Source organism: Homo sapiens, chromosome 5 (assembly GCF_000001405.40).
Source record: "Homo sapiens chromosome 5, GRCh38.p14 Primary Assembly".
In the NCBI taxonomy this organism is placed as follows: Eukaryota; Metazoa; Chordata; class Mammalia; order Primates; family Hominidae; genus Homo; species Homo sapiens.
The window spans coordinates 170,064,544-170,083,602 of NC_000005.10; the positions used below are offsets into that span (position 1 = coordinate 170,064,544).

General features: G+C 45.5%; 1 protein-coding gene across 2 annotated transcripts in view; it reads left to right on the forward strand.

Annotated features, from left to right (window-relative positions):
- Nucleotides 1-18,839, forward strand: part of DOCK2 (dedicator of cytokinesis 2) — a 446,108-nt gene extending 427,269 nt beyond the window's left edge. For both annotated transcript variants that reach the window (NR_156756.1, NM_004946.3), the window contains 8 exons: nucleotides 2,967-3,143; nucleotides 4,594-4,677; nucleotides 11,404-11,541; nucleotides 13,167-13,294; nucleotides 14,432-14,603; nucleotides 15,620-15,740; nucleotides 17,299-17,441; nucleotides 18,253-18,839. Coding sequence is in view for 1 of the 2 variants with exons in the window: in NM_004946.3 (NP_004937.1) it covers nucleotides 2,967-3,143; nucleotides 4,594-4,677; nucleotides 11,404-11,541; nucleotides 13,167-13,294; nucleotides 14,432-14,603; nucleotides 15,620-15,740; nucleotides 17,299-17,441; nucleotides 18,253-18,315 (1,026 nt within the window). In the remaining variant the exon portion in view is untranslated. The remainder of the gene's footprint in view (nucleotides 1-2,966; nucleotides 3,144-4,593; nucleotides 4,678-11,403; nucleotides 11,542-13,166; nucleotides 13,295-14,431; nucleotides 14,604-15,619; nucleotides 15,741-17,298; nucleotides 17,442-18,252) is intronic.

Below are 19,059 nucleotides of genomic sequence, written 5' to 3' on the forward strand. Positions count from 1 at the left end.
GGAAATCATATAACCTGAGGAGCAAAAAGAAAAGAATGAAAAAGAATGAGACTGGTATAAGAGAATTATGGGGCACCATCAAGTGTAACAACATACACATTATTGAGGTACCAAAATAAGAAGAGAGAGGGAGAAAGGAACAGAGAACATATCCAAAGAAATGACAGAAAACTTCCCAAATCTAGAAAAGAAACTAGAAATCTAGATCCAGAAAGCCCAAAGGACAACAAATCAGATAAATCCAAAGAGAACCAAAAGTATTTCTCAAACAAACAAAAGCTGAGTTAAGCACCATTAGACCTGCCTTATAAGAAATACTAAAGGTAGTTCTTCAAGCTGAAGGAAGAGGATGCTAGTTAGTAACGTGAAAATATGAAAATATAAAACTTAGTGTTAAAAAATAAGTACATTGTCAAATCCAAAACATGCTAATACTTTAATGATGGTGGGCAAATCAATTATCTAGTATAAAGATTTAAAGGCAAAAAAAATATAAAAAGACACCTAAAGCTCTAATAGTTTGTTAAAGATAGAAATTATTTTTCATGTAAATTGTGACATCTGAAACTTAAAACATGGGAGGAGAGGGAGTAAAATTGAAGTTTGTGTATGTGATCAAAGTTAAGTTGTTTTCAGCTTTAAATAGCCAGTTATATGTATGTTTTATGTAAGCCTCAGGGTAACCACAAAGCAAAAGCCTATAATAGATGTACAAAAGTTAGAAGAAAAGACCCACAGCATATCACTACAGAAAGCCATCAAATCACAAAGGAAGAAAGTAATAAAGGAAAAAAAGAACAAAGGATCTATAAAATAACCAGAAAACAATGAACAGAATGGCATTAGTAAGTCCTTACCTATCAGTAATGACTTTGAATGTAAATGGATTAAATTCAACAATCAAAAGGAATAGAGTGACTGAACAACAACAACAAAAAAACCTAATGATATTGTATATTAGTCCGTTTTCACATTACTGATAGAGACATACCTGAGACTAGGCAACTTACAAAAGAAAGACGTTTATTGGACTTACAGTTCTACATGGCTAGGGAGGCCTCACAACCATGGAGGAAGGCAGGGAGGAGCAAGTCCCATCTTACGTGGATGGCAGCAGGCAAAGAGAGAGCTTGTGCAGGGAAATTCCCTTTAAAAAAGGGATCTTGTGAGACCCATTCACTATCACAAGAACAGCATGGGAAAGACCTGCCCCCATGATTCAGTCATCTCCCACTAAGTCCCTCCTACAACATGTGAGAATTATGGGAGCTACAAGATGAGATTTGGGTGGGGATACAGAGCCAAACTGTATCAGATATGTTGCCTACAAGAGACTTACCTCACCTTTAAAGACACTCATAGACTGAAAGTGAAGGGATGGAAAAATATATTCCATGCAAATGAAAACTGTTTTTTTTTTTTTTTTGAGACAGAGTCTCGCTCTGTCGCCGAGGCTGGAGTGTAGTGGCGCGAACTCAGCTCACTGCAAGCTCCGCCTCCTGGGCTCATGCCATTCTCCTGTCTCAGCCTCCCGAGTAACTGGGACTACAGGCGCCCGCCACAACGCCTGGCTAATTTTTGTATTTTTAGTAGAGACGGGGTTTCACCATGTTAGTCAGGATGGTCTCGATCTCCTGACCTCGTGATCTGCCCACCTCGGCCTCCCGCAAATGAAAACTTTTAAAAAGAGAGTAGGGGCAGCTATATTTATTTCAGACAAAGTAGACTTTAAATGAAAAACTGTAAAAAAAAACAAAACAAAAGACAAGGTCATTATATAGTGACAAAGGGGTCAGTTCATCAAGAGGATATAAAAATTGTAAACACATATACACCCAATGTTGGAGCACCTAAATATATAAAGTAGACATTAGGAGATCTAGAGGGAGACATAATGTTAGTAGGGTATTTCAATACCTAACTTTTCAACATTGGACTGATCATTTAGCCAGAAAAACAATAAGAAAACATTGAACTTAACCTACATTTTAGATCGTAATGGACCTAACAGACATATACAGAACAATCCACCCCACAGCAACAGCAGACACATTTTTCTGAAGTGCACATGGAACACTCTTCAGTATAGATCGTGTGTTAGACCACAAAACAAGTCTTAACAAATTTAAGATTTTTATTTAGTTTGTTTCTGTTTAGTTCATGGGTCAGCAAACTGTGGCCCATGGACTAAATTCTACCCGTCACCTATTTCTGCAGTTTTATTGGAACAGCCATTCTCATTCATTTACATACTGCCTGTAGGTGCTTTTGCCCTACAATAACAGAGTTGAGTAGTTGCAGCAGACACCATCTGGCCTGCAAATCCTAAAATATTTACTATCTGGCCCTTTTACAGAAAATGTTTGCCGACCTCTACTTTAGGTTTCTACTCCAGATCTCATGCTCTTGCAAACTGCACTTTTTGCCGGTTAGCTTTTGATGGCACTCTGTTTATATCGCCTTCTAAGAGGTGTTGGACAGGTGTTCTGTTTAATTTTCCCAACTAAAGTGAATCTACCTTGGAACAGTGAACCCCTCTAACAACCAGTCTTAGGACCTACTATGTGCCAGGCTGGGTGCCCACATCGCAAGCTGCTCTAATCTCTCTGGCCAATAACTCACACATAGTATCTGCCCAACCAATACTGAAAGGGTTGAATTGGCATGTGTTTCACCCAGATAATAAGAAGAGAAAACCTTCTCTGGGGCACACTCAGCAGGTACCTGACACTTCCTGCTTCTGCCTCCCCAAAGAAATCCCTTTCTCACTAAGCAGAAAGCCAGCCTGTCTCTCCCCAGAGAGCAGACAGCCCCCAGAGCTCAGTAATTACAAGATCCTGTTACAGCCCCTTAGGGAGCATTGCCTCATTTGAATTCCCACCCCAAGTGAAATCAATACCAATAATATCTGTTTTTAAAGTGACTTAACTAAGGCCCTTTCTTCTTGGTGATCTCATTTTCAACAGACCACAATTAGTCCTCTGGAGAATGCCATAGAAACCATGTCCACGGCCAATGAGAAGATCCTGATGATGATAAACCAGTACCAGAGTGATGAGACCCTCCCCATCAACCCACTCTCCATGCTCCTGAACGGGATTGTGGACCCTGCTGTCATGGGAGGCTTCGCCAAGTATGAGAAGGTGAGGATTTCTGTTCTCCAAGTCTAGGGGAGCTCGGTGAGCAGAGCAGTGGTGGGAGGACCCAGGGGGCAGATGCAGGTACATGTCACTTATCCTACTTTGACTGTCCTTGTCCCCAGAGGGACCCTCAGCTTGGTTGGCCCTCATGTTTCTATAGCCTCATGTCTTAGCTGAGCTCCTGTCTTCCTCCCAGCCTCTTTTCCATACCCTGTGCTGGGGCAGGGAGGGGCAGGAAGGGGCAGGGGTCATAAGGTCCCCTTATCTCACTGGGCAGATTCAGGTGGCTCTATTAAGGAAAGGCTCTGGGATGAGTGTGAGCCAGACCATAAAAGTACGTGCCAGTTGTATAAACCCACCTCTTCCACAGAGGATGTGAAATGATGTATACTAATGGAAAGAAATGAAACTCAGAATCTGTGAAAAGCCATAAAAACTAAGAGATCAACTCCAAAAGGGGAGCTATAATCTAGATATCAAGGTCATAAGGTCCCTCCAGAAAGCCCCACATGTTTGAGCCACAGATTTATTTTTGAGCTTCCTGGTGTTCACGGCAAAAAAGGAAATAGCATCACTTATATGAGTTACATTATCCACTGGAAGGAAAAATACCCATTTCTCAGTAAGGATACGTAGCTGTTCTTGGCATTGAAATAGAGTAGAAAGTTCTTACTTGGTTTTCACCTAGCAGACACTGAAGGAAAAATGAACTCCTCATTCTAACAAATCTTTTGATGAATTCCCTATTATCTTTCCTATGTTATCCATTGATGTAAAACTAAGAATACCACACAGTAGTATAATTTGGGGACAATAATTCCAGTCACCTAATCAATCCTTCCAACTACCCTCAGATACCCATGCAGTCATCATTGGTAACCCTTTGCTCAGCCTTGAGCAGTGATGGGATATGTCTGTTTATACATGAGCACACACTAAGGACATGAGCCCCAGAAAGGGGCTGCCAGGGTCACTTGCAATGAGGGAGGCCATGAGGTGAGCTGGAACACCCACCAGTGAGATTCCTTACTGAATTATTTTCCACAGAGCAATGTTCTCAAACTTGAAAGGAGCATCAGAATCCCCTACAGTGCTTCCTGACACACGGGTCCTCACCCCACCCCCAGAGTTTCTGATTCAGGCTGTCTGGGCTGGGGCTAGAGACTTTGCATCTCTAACAAGTTCCAAAGTACTGTTGCTGCTACTGGCTCAGGAACCTGACTTTGAGAACAGCTTCCCCAGAGTTTGCAGCCCATTCCCACTGGGTGCTGATCTGAGCCTCAAAGCAGATAAAACAATGTCAGTCTCTCCAGACCTGTTACTCTTGTTCCATCCACATGCCTGTGACCTCATCCTTGCCCCTTTCAAATTGAATCTTCTCCCAGTGCCAAAGAGATTGGCTGTGAAATGCCACATGAACAGGAAACCCTGACCTCCTATCTGTCCTCCCCAGGCCTTCTTCACTGAAGAGTATGTCAGGGACCACCCTGAGGACCAGGACAAGCTGACCCACCTCAAGGACCTGATTGCATGGCAGGTGAGGCAGCGCTGGCCAGGGGAGCATGCTGCTCTCCTTCCTCTCCCCCCACCGTGGTTCACTTGCCCCACGCTAGGCTCTAGCTGAGGCAGCCTGAATTCACATGCCCTCCTGTCCCTTGCTTTTCAGCCCCTCTTCCAACTCTGTATCACACCTGAGCAGGTTCATCCTGGAACAGAGATTTGGGGCATCGCACTCTTGGGTGTTGCATGGTGCCAGGCAGCAATGCTATGCTGGATGGTGCCAAGATTATCTTATTTGATGTTGAATTCAGGGGATGGCTTTTCACAGCGGGATGCAAATAAACACCAGGCCCCCACACTCCAAACCAGCACCTTCCCCCGACACCCAGCACAGGCCAATCTGATAATAGAAGACTTGAGCCCCTACTCCCACTTCTCCTCCTTTTAGAGCTGACCCACTTTGTTGCAATAATGCTCAGATGGATATCAGGTTTTGAAAATAATTGAGGCCTTTGTGTGGGTGGTTGTGAGTCAAAGGGTCTACATCCCACACAAGCCGCTGCTCAGCCCACGGGCTTAGAAGTTACCACCCTGCTGTTTCGGGCTGGCCACTTACCTGCCTCTCCTTCCATTCTCTCTTTGCATCCCTCTTCTTCCTGTGGACTCTGTCTTTCCTCCTTTCTCTCTTTCTCTCTGTGCATCTGTCTGTCTTTCCCTCTCTCTCTTAGAAGCCTGCACTTCTATTCCTTGCCTCTCTGTCTTTTGCCCCCCACCCCCACACATCTTACTCCTCTCTTGGCTTCTCTTCCTCTTCTGTCTCATTCTCCATCTCCCTGCAGAAGCAACAGTCGGCTAGATCCCTCTCATAGAGGCTTACACAGGGCTAGGCTTCCCTCCAGGCCCAGAGCAGCCCCCTCCTCAGACATTCGCCCACTCTGGGCTCTCAGCAAACCACCCATCAGAACACAGGGGTGGGCTCCGGAGGGCAGGAGCTGGCGGGAGGTGAGCAGTGGATGCAGGGGCAGGTGGTAGCAGCTTGCAGCTGCCTGCCCTCCCTCGCTTTCTTCTTGCCAGTCACTGTGCAAAGAAAAGCAAGCTTTTGTGGTTGGGAGTTTTTGTTACTCTAGGGAAATCAGGGAATGAGAAGCATTGGGTGCAGCCTCTTTTCTTAAAATAAGAATTCCTAATTCAGGTCCTTCTCTGCCTCTGCCAATTTATGCAAAGTGGGGCTTTAAAAATGAAACACCAAGCACTGCACAGACGCGCTTTTCCCGAATGCATGTTGTGTGTCTGTCTGGAATTTTCTCTTTCTTTTTACCTTGTGCCACCTGTGAAGCCCAAATATCCCCCAGGTCCCCAGCCTTCTGGGGTCGTCATGCCCTTTATTATTCAAATAATGATGTTCTCCCTTAGCATCCCCAGTTTGGGAAGCAGGAAGGCCAGGCTTTGACTCGTTCCCATCCTCAGATATTGCTGGGAGGCCTCAGGGAAGGCTAACATGTCATACAGATTTGCTTAGTTGTTGGATGTCACTCTGAATCTATACAATTGCCCTGGTCCTCTCCACTGGGGACCTCTTCTCCTCTGGAAACAGCTTCTCCATGCTGTGTTTACTGTACCCAAAGAATGAACTGCAGCTTCACAGCACAGCGAATACCAAGCTGTACCTTCCAAGAAAATTCTACTACTGTCTTGGAGCTTACTAGAGGGACATTACCAACAAAGCCGGAAGGCTTTGAAAGCATGTACTCTATTAGATGTGGCGGCTTCTGAGAACCGTTAGCTAGGCGCCTTCAGACACCGCCCCCTAGTGGCCGCCTTCTCCTTAGCACCACCCGCTGCTCCTGAGACCACCTATACAGAGGCCCACCTAACCCCCAAACGAGGTTGACCTCAGCCATATCCCTCCCACCCAGCGCCCAGGCACCCTAACTATGGGCACCCGCATGCAAAAGATGCAGTCCTGCTCATAGTGAAGGCAGCCTTTTAACATTATCACATGCAGCAGATTAGCTCTTCCCTACCTGTTTCATTCCGTTTGTTCTTGCAACTTATATTTATTGAGCCTCTGTTGTGTCCTAGGCAACAGTAATAGTGATGGACAAAATTGGGCCTGCTCCCTGCTCACTTGGAGCTTAATTCTATGTTGGATTTTGGTTTTGCAAAGCCAAATACACTTTGAATTTACTTAAAACACGAGAAGGTTAGATTTCAAGGGGAGTGAATGTATTTGTACCTCTAGCAACCGAACAAATGCTGAAGCCTTCAAAGTACATTTGGTGTTCAACGTTTTTGCAGATTTCAAGATCGATAGCTTGTTAATTTATTTTCTTTCTGAAGACTTTCTATTTTTTGGCATAAAAAGATGTCTATAGTATGCTCTTCTTTTAAAGCTTTTGTTGTGAAATATTATGTACAGAAAAGTACACATAAAAATATATAACCCACTGATTTATCAAAAACATACATCCGTTTGACCACCACCCAGATGAAATAGAATTCTGCTAGCTCCCCTAATCCTATCTTAGGCCTCCTTCCCTAAGAGTGAGCACTGTTCTGTTTTTATAGTAATCATTTCCTTGCTTTAAAAAAAATACTTTACCACCCAAACACTCATTCTTAAACACTATAGTTTAGATTTGCTTAATTTTGACCTACATATAAACAGAATCACATAATATACAGTCTTTCGTATCTAACTTATTTTGCCCAATGTTATGTTTGTGAAAGTCATTCATTTTGTTTATGAGTCATAACTATGATTCACATTCATTTTCATTGCTATATAGTAGTCCGTACAGCTGGCTTATGTAACTATACCAAAATGCATTTATTTATTTTTATACTAATAGAGAATTGGGTTTATTTCAGCTTGGGGCTATTATAAGTAATGCTATTCTGAACTTCCTTGTGTGTTTTTTTGGTACACATATGCAAAATTTTTGTTGGGTATATACCTATGCATTGATTTGCTTGGTCATAGCATGTGAGGATATTCAGCTTTCATAGGTACTGCCAATCTTCTATCACCATAGGTTAGGTTATTTTGCCTGTTCTTGAACCTCTTATAAATTGTATTATACAGTACAGTATGTACTACTGTATCTGTAGCTTCTTTGGCTCAATATAATGCCTTTGAGATTCCTCTGGGTTGTTACACATACTAGAGGTTTGACTTTTTTGTTGTTTCTAAGTGTCATCTATTGTATGTGTATCTAAATTACCAATAATATATCAATTTATTTATCCGTTCTGTTGGACATTTGGATGTTTTCAGGTGTTGTATATTATGAGTAAAGTTGCTATGAACATTCGTGTTTGTGCCTTTTGGTGGACCTAAGCACCCAGTTCCCTCAGTATACATGCAGTAGTGGAATTGCTGGGCCATGCACATTTAACCTTACTGGACACAAGAAGCAGTTTTTCAAAGTGGCTAAATCAATTTTCACTCCCACACAACTTCTAAGTCAGTTGATCCACATTCTCCCTGACACTTGATACTGGGAGTCTTTTTTAATTCTAGTCCTTCTGGTGGATGTGTAATGATATCTCAGTTTAGTTTTAATTTGCATTTCCTTCATGAGCAATGATGTTCAGCACCTTTTCATATGCTTACTGCTAATTGGATTACCCTTTTGTGAAATACTTTTTCAAATCTTTTACTTATGTTGTTAATTTAGTTGTCTCTTTATTATTGATTTATAGGAGTTTATATATTCTAGATATGCATCTTCTGTCAAATATATGTATTGCAAATATCTTCTCTTAGTCTGGCTTGTCTGTTTGCTTTCTTAATGATGTATTTTGATGAACAGCAGTTGTAATTTTGGTCAGGTTTAATTTATCATATTTTTAAATGATTAGTGCTTTTGTGTCCACTTTAAGAAACCGCAACTACCCCAAGATCATGAAGATATTCTCCTATGTTTTATTCTGAGTTTTTATTGTTTTGTCTTATACATTTAGGTGTATGATCCTTTTTGACTGATGTAAAGTAAGAGGCAGATTATTTTCTTACACAGATTTCCAATTTCTTTAGCACCATGTGTTGAAAAGACTATTTTCCCCCACTTTTGACCCCCCAAATTGACCATATATGTGTTTTTCTATTCTGGACTTTCTATTCTGATCCATCGGTCTATGTCCATGCTTATACCAATACCACACCATCTTAGGTCTTGAAATCTAATAGTCAGTGTACCCCAATTGTTGCTTTTCATCAAGTGTGTCTTGCCTCTTCTAAGTCCTTTGTATTTCTCTATAAATTTTAAAATAACCTTGCCAATGTTTACACACTCCTCCCAAACACATTGAGATTTGGATTAATTGTACATTAACTATTAGATTAAATTGGAGAGAATGGCTATCTTCTCATCCATGAACATGGACTAGCTCTCCATTTATATAGTTCTTTAATTTCTCTCAGCAAAATTTTGTGGTTTTCACATATTTTATTTTCTTTCATATATCTTATTAGATCTGCTCTTTGGTATTTGATATTTTAAATTCTATTGTAAATGGTATTGTTTTTAAATTTTATTTTCTGTTTGTTAACTTTTTGTAATACACTCATCTTATGATCTTTTATGTTTGTACTTCTTGTAATTATGTTTTTCAATCCTAATATTGGTTATTAGTACCTTGTATTTTCTTGATTAGTCTTCTTAGGAGTTTGTTAATGTTGTATCTTTTCAAAGAAACAAATTTTGGCTCTGTTGATCCTCTCTGTTGTAAATTTGTTTTCTATTTTTATTCGTGTCCACTCTCACCTTTATTATTTTCATTCCTTTTCTCCCTTTGAATTTAGTTCGCTGTTCTTTTACTAATATCTTGAGATGGATGCTTAGCTAATTTATTTTCTGTGTTTTCTAATATGTAAAACTAAAGCCATAAATGTATCTCCGTTTACAACCTTATCTCACTACTATTTATATGTAGTTTTTCCATTAGCTTCCTTTTTTATATAAAATCTTTGTCTTTTTCATGAATGAAGGATCTTTTCTGTTCCTATATATTAGTTAAATTTTTTAGAAAAACATGTTTTCTTAGGCTCTCTTTATTCTATTTCTTCCAAATTCATTCTGTTTTTTCTTCCTTTATTCTTTCCTTCTTTTCTTCCTTATTTGCTTTCTTCCCTATCTGTTGGTCTGGTCTCTGTCTTTCCTATTGGAGACTTTCCTCCAGTGTCTGGTGATACTTGGCATTCTCTTCATAGTTAAGAGCAAGGCTAAAGAAAAAGAAAATCTGAGTACAAGAGAGAGGGCCTTGGCAACTGGGTAGCATTGCTGTGTGGCAACGGAATGACCCACAGACGTCTCTCTCTACATGGGACCATTCACATTCTCCAGAGTCAGACCCTTCAAGCTGTTATATAGAAAGATAATCCCAGCTGCTACTCTGCTGGCCATTTGGGAATTGGGAAGTGGAGCTCTCAGGACCCAAATGCAGACTTTCTCTTCAACTTCTTATTTGCAGTCTGGCTTCTGCTTCTGCCTTCTGTTGTGCCTGATGCCCCTAAGCCCAGAGCTCCTTGTTCTAATTGTTCTAGAGGATAAACTCCTCCTTCTTGGGAAAATGGGAAAAAAGAACACTTGGCTGCAGGGTGAGGCAGTCAGGCAATCTAACTGCTCCTGATACAGAACTTCAACACATTCCTCTGTGTTTGGCCCCTCAGCTCACCCGCCTTCTCTGTAGTACCTGGTGCCTCCAATCTCTGAGGCCCTCCTGGCTTCATGTAGGCAGATTGGCTTCTTATCACCACCTCCCTCCTCTGCTCTGGAAGCTCTGGAAGGTCAGTTATGTCCTCCCACCTCCTGGCACACATATTGTGTGGCAGGTTTATGAATGTCTCCAAGTTTCACTGAAGATTTCAGTTTCTCCTTCACCTTGTCATTTCTGGGAGACCTCCAATAGAAGTAAGCAGAAATATCTTTATGTCACCATCATGAAAGCAATTTTTCCCCCAAGTAATTCATAATCTACCCCTTTGCTCCCCTGGTTATGTTTCCCTGAGACCACACAACTAAAGTTCTCAGTTCTCTTTCTGACAGTGCCCACCATGGCTCTGCTACTCTCCCTTAAGGTAGCTGACACTTAGACAGTATCCACTGACCTCCTATGGGGACAAATAAGACTTCAACTCCCTCACATCAATCCTCTCTTCTTCCCTCATCTTCCTAAGGCTTTTATTATCATTTTTCAGAGCTCCCTACTGGGGGGTTAACTTTATGATATTAGCACATTCATATCCTTCTTCAGCAGCTGTATGAAGTGCAATTGGCTCCATGTGGTAAGATGAGGCTATGCCCCCTCCTCTGTTTTCTCTCAGCTCTTGCCTTCCTCTATCTCTCAGCTTCTGACATTCATCCTTTCACTTTAGTATTGCCAAGAACATCTTAGGCAAGGTTTTAAATCAATGCAACAGAGATTCCCCTCCTCTGATCCCCACACTCTGCCCCCAAGTAGATTCTTTAAGGGGGCAATTTTCCCAACCATGTGGCCTTTCATGGGGAAGAGGGGAGTCCAGCCCTCCTATGAGGCAAGGGAAGCTGGGGGTCTTTCTCTCCTTTCCAGAGCAAACCTCATGTTTGCAACTTTCCCCATTTCCCATGGCTGGGGACCGTGTGTGCAGGTTTCTGAGGACCCTGAAGCCCTTGATGAATTCTTAGCAGGCAGACTTGACTGCAGCTGCCTTGATGGGCGGGGTGCCAGGCTGAGGCCCACCGGTCAGCCTCTGGCTCATTCTTTACCACTTTCTCTCCAGATCCCCTTCTTGGGAGCTGGGATTAAGATCCATGAGAAAAGGGTGTCAGATAACTTGCGACCCTTCCATGACCGGATGGAGGAATGTTTCAAGAACCTGAAAATGAAGGTGGAGAAGGAGTACGGTGTCCGAGAGATGGTATGGGTGGTTCCTATGGCTTGGAGGGGTGGGATTGTGCAGGGTGGGGCAGGGAAGCATGCTGGAGGCTGAAGTTGGAGGGGATCCAGCAAAGGAAGCTGCTTCCAAAGAGAAGATAATGATGGCCAGCATTGCTGGATCCCATCCAGGGGAACCCTCCTGGAAACTTGGTCCAGCAAAAGTAACCCCCAGACAAACTCCAGTTACAACTGGATTGTGCAGATACCAACTACTCAAGGGACTGTGTAATAATAATGAAAGCTACACTGATGCAGCATCTACTATGTGCCAGGCCTGATTCAAGCACTTGACATCTACTAGGTCATTTAATCCTCACCACAAGCCTGAGAGGCAGGAAAGATTTTTAATCCTTTGTATTTCTTCTGAGGTTCAGAAGGTCAGGCAACTTGCCAGAGGCTATGTGGCAAATGAATGTGGGGCAGAATTTGCATCTGGCTCTGTTAGTTTAAGGCCAGTGATTTTGACCGCTGAGCTCCTTGGCCTAAAGAGGCCATGAGCCTGGTGCTTACGGGGTGCTTCTTCATCCTTTTCCTTATTAACTGGTGTTATAAAATGTCAAGGCCATGCAATTCCTTTAAAACCATCTGGTCCAGCCTTCCCATTTTACAGATGGTAAAACTGAGACCCAGAGAAGAAAAGTGAATTACTGGAAGAACCTACAGATGCACTCAGGTCTCTTGATTCAAAGATTTTTTTCCATGAGGCAGTTTGTCACTTTCAATACTCCCTACATGAAGTCCCTGTAATGCAATTCTGGTGCTAACTCCCTGGAGTTAGGTCACATTTCACAGGTTAGAAGCACAGTCTTAGACACTTCCCACTTCAAACACCAACCATAAGCTTCAGGGACCCAGGCCACCCACACTTCTGCCTAACTGGTTACAAACTGGGAGATTCCCACTACCCCATCAGGTTTCATAATTCACTAGAATAATTCACAGAACTCAGGAAAGCATGATACTTATGATTTCAGTTTATGATACAAATCAAGACCAGCCAGGTAAAGAGACACAGAGTGAGGTCCAGGAGGGTCCCAAACATGAAGTTTCCACGTATTCCAGATGCATCCCCCTTCTGGCACATTGATGTATGATTACCAGCCAGAGAAGTTCACTAGAGCCTAATGTCCAGAGTTTTTATTGGGGTTTTATTATGTAGTCATGATAGATTGAACCATTGGCCATGTGATGGAAATCAGTCTCTGGGCCTGTCCACTCCCTGGAGGTTGAGCTGATACCACATGGCTTAAAGCCCCAGCCCAGCCCTATAATCATAGAGCTGGTCTTTCTGGCCATCAGGAGCCATCTTATTAGCATAAAATCAAGTATGGTCAAGGGGGCCACCATGAATAATAACAAGGATACTACTATCACATAGGAAATTCCAAAGTTTTAGATATTACCTTCCAGGAACCAGGAGTAAAGGTCATCCACATTCTTCATTCTACAAGAACGCCCTAGCCTCAGCCAGCCAGGAACTTTTGTGCTGATGCTCCACTCAGCCCCACAACTCTGCCCTGCCTAGGTGGAGGAAGAAGGTGACAGGAAGGCTGGGGCCACCTTCCCCAGGCTACAGCTGCTAACCACCCTGTTCTCCCACCACAGCCTGACTTTGACGACAGGAGAGTGGGCCGTCCCAGGTCTATGCTGCGCTCATACAGACAGATGTCCATCATCTCTCTGGCTTCCATGAATTCTGACTGCAGCACCCCCAGCAAGCCTACCTCAGAGAGGTCAGTCCCTGCACCCCAAGGAGCCCCCCACACCCCTGCCTCCCTGGCTCTATCCCCCCTCCTTCTCTCTCTTCTCCGGCAACATCCCTTCTACCTTTCCCTTCCTCCTTTCAGTTTAAAAGCCTTTTCCCATCTGCAGTCTCACAACTACCCCAGGAGGCTCATGGTTAGTACCATTTTTAGGGGATTATCAGAGGCTCAGAGAGGCAAGGCAGCTTTCCTGAGGACCCAGCAGGAGTCACCTGCAGCCCCCAGACTTCTAGTCCAGTGATCTCTGTCAGCCAGGCAGAGCTCCTCACCAAGCCTGCATCCTTCTGGAATATTGTCACCTCTCATAGGGATCTGTTCCCTTTCAAGGAAGCTCCTCCCAACCACGATGGGATGTCTCCATTGCAGAGCTCTTCCTCCTGCACCACCTACCCACCCCTCTGTCGGGGGTCTTCCCTCCCTTGCCCCTTCCACCTTCCTGGAGCCCTCTGGCCATCATTGTTGGACCCTCCAGAAACTTCCCTGCGGGCCTCAGAGGTTACTCTTGCCCAGAGGGAAAAGGATGGAAACGTCTTCTGTTTCACAGTTCTAGGGGGCATCATTCACAATTCTAGGGGGCACCATTCACCCTGCCCAACTCATCTGTTCTAATCATAGATACATGAGCAACCCAGCACTTACCATATGCCAAGAATATGCCAAGGGTTCCTCAGACATCATCTCATGGCCACTCTGCAAGGTCTCTGCGAAGACCTCCATTTACTGAAAAGGAAATGATGGCTTGAAGAGGTTGAGTGATTTACCCAAAGTTATTCATTCAGCTAAGAACTGGCCGTGCCTGGATTTGAATCCACATTCATGCTTTCAACCAGTCTTCTCTCCTCACCACCAGTTTCTTTTCTATGGCTCACTTCTTTCAATTTCATTTTACCACGAATAAAATAAAGTGAACTTTACTCATCACATTTAACTGTTTGTGCATTGAGCAAGTTGCTCCCCAAATCCTCTGCCAGATTTGCTGATCTACTCCAGACCCTGTAGTGACAGCTCAGGCAGCCCAAAGGTCCCCTTCAGCTTCCTGGGTCCTTGCAAGGCAGTTCTACTGAAGCTCTAACTGCAGTTTCTATTGCTGCCCCTCTGGCCTTTCAGCTTTGACCTGGAATTAGCATCACCCAAGACGCCGAGAGTGGAGCAGGAGGAACCGATCTCCCCGGGGAGCACCCTGCCTGAGGTCAAGCTGCGGAGGTCCAAGAAGAGGACAAAGAGAAGCAGCGTAGTTTTTGCGGATGAGAAAGCAGCTGCAGAGTCGGACCTGAAGCGGGTGAGTGGCTGAGGCAGATTGCCTCTCCAGCGCTGTTAGCACATTTCCACTACATGCTGGGCACAAAACCCAGGGCTTCCAGATATGGGCTTCCTGAAGCCTGCCACTGCGGTGCTATGGGTATTGCAGAGGCGGCACCTGAGGAGCTGAGAGGTGAAGTGCTTACTCGTGCCCAGGCAGCTGGGGTGGCTGGGACATGACAGAGCTGGGAGTTGAGCCCTGACCTTTGCACTTCAGAGCCTGTGTGTATCCTTTCCACCATCACACAGGGCTTTTCCAGGCTGGGGAGAATCCACCTGTTCTCCCACCAAAAGGGAGAGCAGCCCACTTGGTACTGAGCTAGGTGTTTCTATAGCCCCCAGCCCCAGGCCTATTCTAACCACTGATGTCTCAGACCCCTGCAAGCCCCTCCTGTGTGCCAGGAGTCCAGGTGGGGATACAGGGATGAAATCTCACTGTCCTGGCTTTGAGAGTGTTGGTCTTGTAAACTAACGATTATTTAAAAATGAGACTTGGTTTCAGACAGCCCTGGATTCAATCTTAGTTTCCCCCTGGAAAAGAGGTTTGTTGGAAGTGTTCTGGGAACCTGGGAGTGGGAGATGGATTAACTGCCCTGGCAAGGGAGGGGTGCCAAATGAAAGAGCAAGGGGCCAACCAAGATGCCTTAGTGAAGAAAGGGCCCTCCAGAAACTTCCCAGTGGGCCTCGCAGGCTACTCTTGCGTGGATGGATAAGAATGGAAATGTCTTCTGTGTTTGTCGATTCTAGGGGACACCATTTACATGATAGTCTAAATGAATGTCCGCCACCCCCGCCTGTAGTTGTGTAGTGTGCAACCTGTGCAACCATATGTGGCAGGCTGGCATGGAATGGTATAATACAGAATAAATGAACTTGGAGCCAGCTTCATAGAAACCATGCCACGCCCTCCTCACTGATCTTTCAGAGACCCAGATCTGCCTCATGCTAAGCCTCTGTCTTTGTGTGTGTGTGTGTGTGTCTGGTGTATTCCTCCAGCTTTCCAGGAAGCATGAGTTCATGAGTGACACCAACCTCTCGGAGCATGCGGCCATCCCCCTCAAGGCGTCTGTCCTCTCTCAAATGAGCTTTGCCAGCCAGTCCATGCCTACCATCCCAGGTATGCCCCCTGCTGCCACCAGCATGAGGGAGTAGAGATAGTGCAGGCCACCAGCCTTGTGGGTGGAGGATGGATGGGAACTGTGTCTACACAACAAAGTGGGCCAGGCATCCTGGAGTGAGAGGCTCTGCTCATAGCCACCCACCCTCTAATCTCTCCCCACACCCACCACTTCCTGGGGGTGACACCATCCCAGCAAGCTCCAGCAGGGACAGGGGAGAGGCCTGCTGTCCCTTGGGCCCTCAGGATTCACTGAGCATCCATTTGTCACACTAGGTGGCCCCTTGTTCTCAGTTAGCCAGGCCTCCCCAGGGGCCAGAAGTTTGCCCTTGGTATGTCCCTAAGACCTGTGGCTTCTTTGTGGACCTGGAAGACTCTTTCTGGCTTTACAGAAATGGCCACCACATCTTATAGCTGCAAAGTGTTTGGTGCATAGATGCTACCTATCTGCCACCGTCGTCACTCACTCACTGTCCAGTGAGGAGGTTAGAGCACAGCCGATGGTCCTAACTCACAGAAGGGAATCTGAGGCCCTAACAGGGGACATGGCATGCCTGAGAGCACTCCATCTGGTAGGCAGAAGTCCTTGACGTCTGCTGCTATGTGCCTGGCTCTGTGTGCTAAGGGCCAGGTCAGAAGGGAACAAGACAGGACCAGTGCTGCCCTGTGGAACTCAGCAGGCCGATCATGGTGAAGACGCTTGCTGTTTCCTGAACATTGAGGGTGCCAGGCCCTGCGCCAACTGCTACTCCTTCTTTATTTCATTTACTCCACTGCGCATACCCAGGAAGTAGTTCATGTTATCCACCCCATTGTATGGATGAGGAAACTGGGGCACTGAGAACATCACTCTCTTGCCTATCACCAGCCAGCAAATGGCAGAGACTGAGTTCAGACCCAGGCCCTCTTCCCTGGAACAGGCACCTACCCACTGCCCCGCCACCACCCCCAGGATAGCCTGAACACAGCTGCAACATTTGGCCCAAGCCATTTCACTGGTATCTGCTCAGCAGGTCTCACCACACCCTGGCGGTCTGGGCTCTTTCTCCCATTTGGCCAATGTCAAAACCAGCAGTCAGAGAGTAACTAATTTTTCATGTCTCTGTGACGCCAAGCTGGGGCTGTAACCACTAGGTCATCTGGCCCCTCCACCAGGTGACACGTGGGTTTGAGACTCTCTTCCCGCTGTCTCCTGCAATGGGGAGAGAAATCCAGGGTGTTGGTGTTGGGAGCTGGAGGAAGAGTAAGCTCACACTGTCCCCTGCCTTGGAGCAGAAGGTTCTGTTTCCTGGGGATGTCAGGGCTTTGGGGCAAGGTTTTGACCAGGAGCCAGGAGGCTGAACCCTTGTCTGTAGGGTGGGCAATCTTCACTGCAAGAGGACAGCTTCAATGTCCCCTGGCACGGCAGGAAATAGGCATCCTGCCTCCTGCTTGGCACATACAATGTGTGATCCCTGGATGCTGGCTCTGTCCCCCAGCCCTCCCCCTGTCTACCTCCCCCAAGGCACTGCCCCTCCTCTACCCACCCATTCACACCCCAGCTCTGCTCTCCTTCCAGCCCTGGCGCTCTCAGTGGCAGGCATCCCTGGGTTGGATGAGGCCAACACATCTCCCCGCCTCAGCCAGACCTTCCTCCAACTCTCAGATGGTGACAAGAAGACACTCACACGGAAGAAGGTCAATCAGTTCTTCAAGACAATGGTGAGGACATTGAGGGTGGAAGGAAAGGAAGGCATTGGGAGGAGAAAGGGAAGAGAGCAATGCAGAGAGAAGAAAATGGGGGGTTGTGTGTGCATATGTGGTCATTCCTAGGGAGGCATAGTCAGGAGGCCCTGAGTTCTGGGACACTGTGCAGCAATGCCCAGAGGGCAGTTCTCCTCTGGGGCCTCAGGCAGCTCCTCTGACCAGGATTGACCCCAGCTAGGGATGTGCAGGACCCAGGGACCTCAGAAGCAGTAGGTGGCCTACCCTCGCCTAAACTGCCCCTTAGTGCTCCAGCCCTTTTTTATTCAACCTATATCACAAAATCCTACAAATTGAACATTAGTTTCCAAGCGCTGATTCTGCAAGTCCCATCTCCTATTGTTACTTGTTGGCCTTTGCTCAAGATCAAGAAGGTACCATAACACATCTGATCCTCAAGGTAATATGAAATCAGGACTCTGCTACTACAAATATCTCAAGTTTACCATGAGCACACGATGAGTCAGGCACCATGCTAAGCACTTCCCAAGCATGGTGCCATTTGAGCTCCCACTCTTAGGATTTTATATGGGAGGCTCACAGGGTTTGGTAAGTGAGGTGCCCAAGTCCACATGGCTAGTGAGCCTGGGCTCACTCTACTGTCTACCACTGCCTTTCTGGCCAAAGCCAAGGGCATAGCAGCTCACATTCACTGGGCTTTGGGCAGGGGTCAGTGTTGAGGCCCTTGTGATTAGGACTGGGAAGCTCCATTTTGGTGCTTAATCTGATAATCGCATCTTGGTTTTGTGCTTGTTTATTCTCTCAAAAGCTGGCCAGCAAATCGGCTGAAGAAGGCAAACAGATCCCAGACTCGCTGTCCACGGACCTGTGAGCTGCTGCTGACTAGGGCTGCATGGGAGAGCCAGGGAGGGGAGTTTCTGGAAGAGGAAAGCCATGCGTGGAACATCGAAGCCTCAGAGAGTGGGAGACTGTCCCCATCAGTTGTCCTTACTTAGAGGAGACAGAGAGGCCAATCAGGTCCCAGAGCTTGAATGCTAACAAGCCCAGCATCCCCTGGGGCTGTGATCATGGTGGATGAGGAAGCCTCAACGTAGATTCCTGAACTCAAGGTACCAGCAAGAATGCCTTCTCCCAGTGTGCTCTCCCCAACATCCTAGGCACAGCTTTCATAACCCAGTTTCTTAGGTGTAAGAAACTGTTTTTATCTCATTTATTAAGTCTCAGAACTTAACAGAAAAGGAAGCCTTTTAAATATTCTTTTTAATTTTATTTTAGATTAACAGTTTTGTACTTTACATTTTTTTATACAACCAACCAGTTTCTTTTCTAGCCAATCATCTCTGAAGAGTTGCTGTTTCTTACTGACAATAAAAAATGTTCTCTTGGTTCGAATAAGCCTTGTTGCCTGATTCTGTTGGCTGACTCTCCTGGGCCCAGGACTGGGCAGGAAGCTCCCTGGAAGGAAGGCAGGCCCAGGGGCTGCAGTGATGTGAAGGAGCCTGGTGATGCCCTTGCCCAATGCCAAATTTCCCCACCTCATCTATGAGAAGATTCTTCAAGAATCTCCATGACTCTTGTTCCTTAGGTGCCAAACCCTGGGCTACCAGCATGTTAA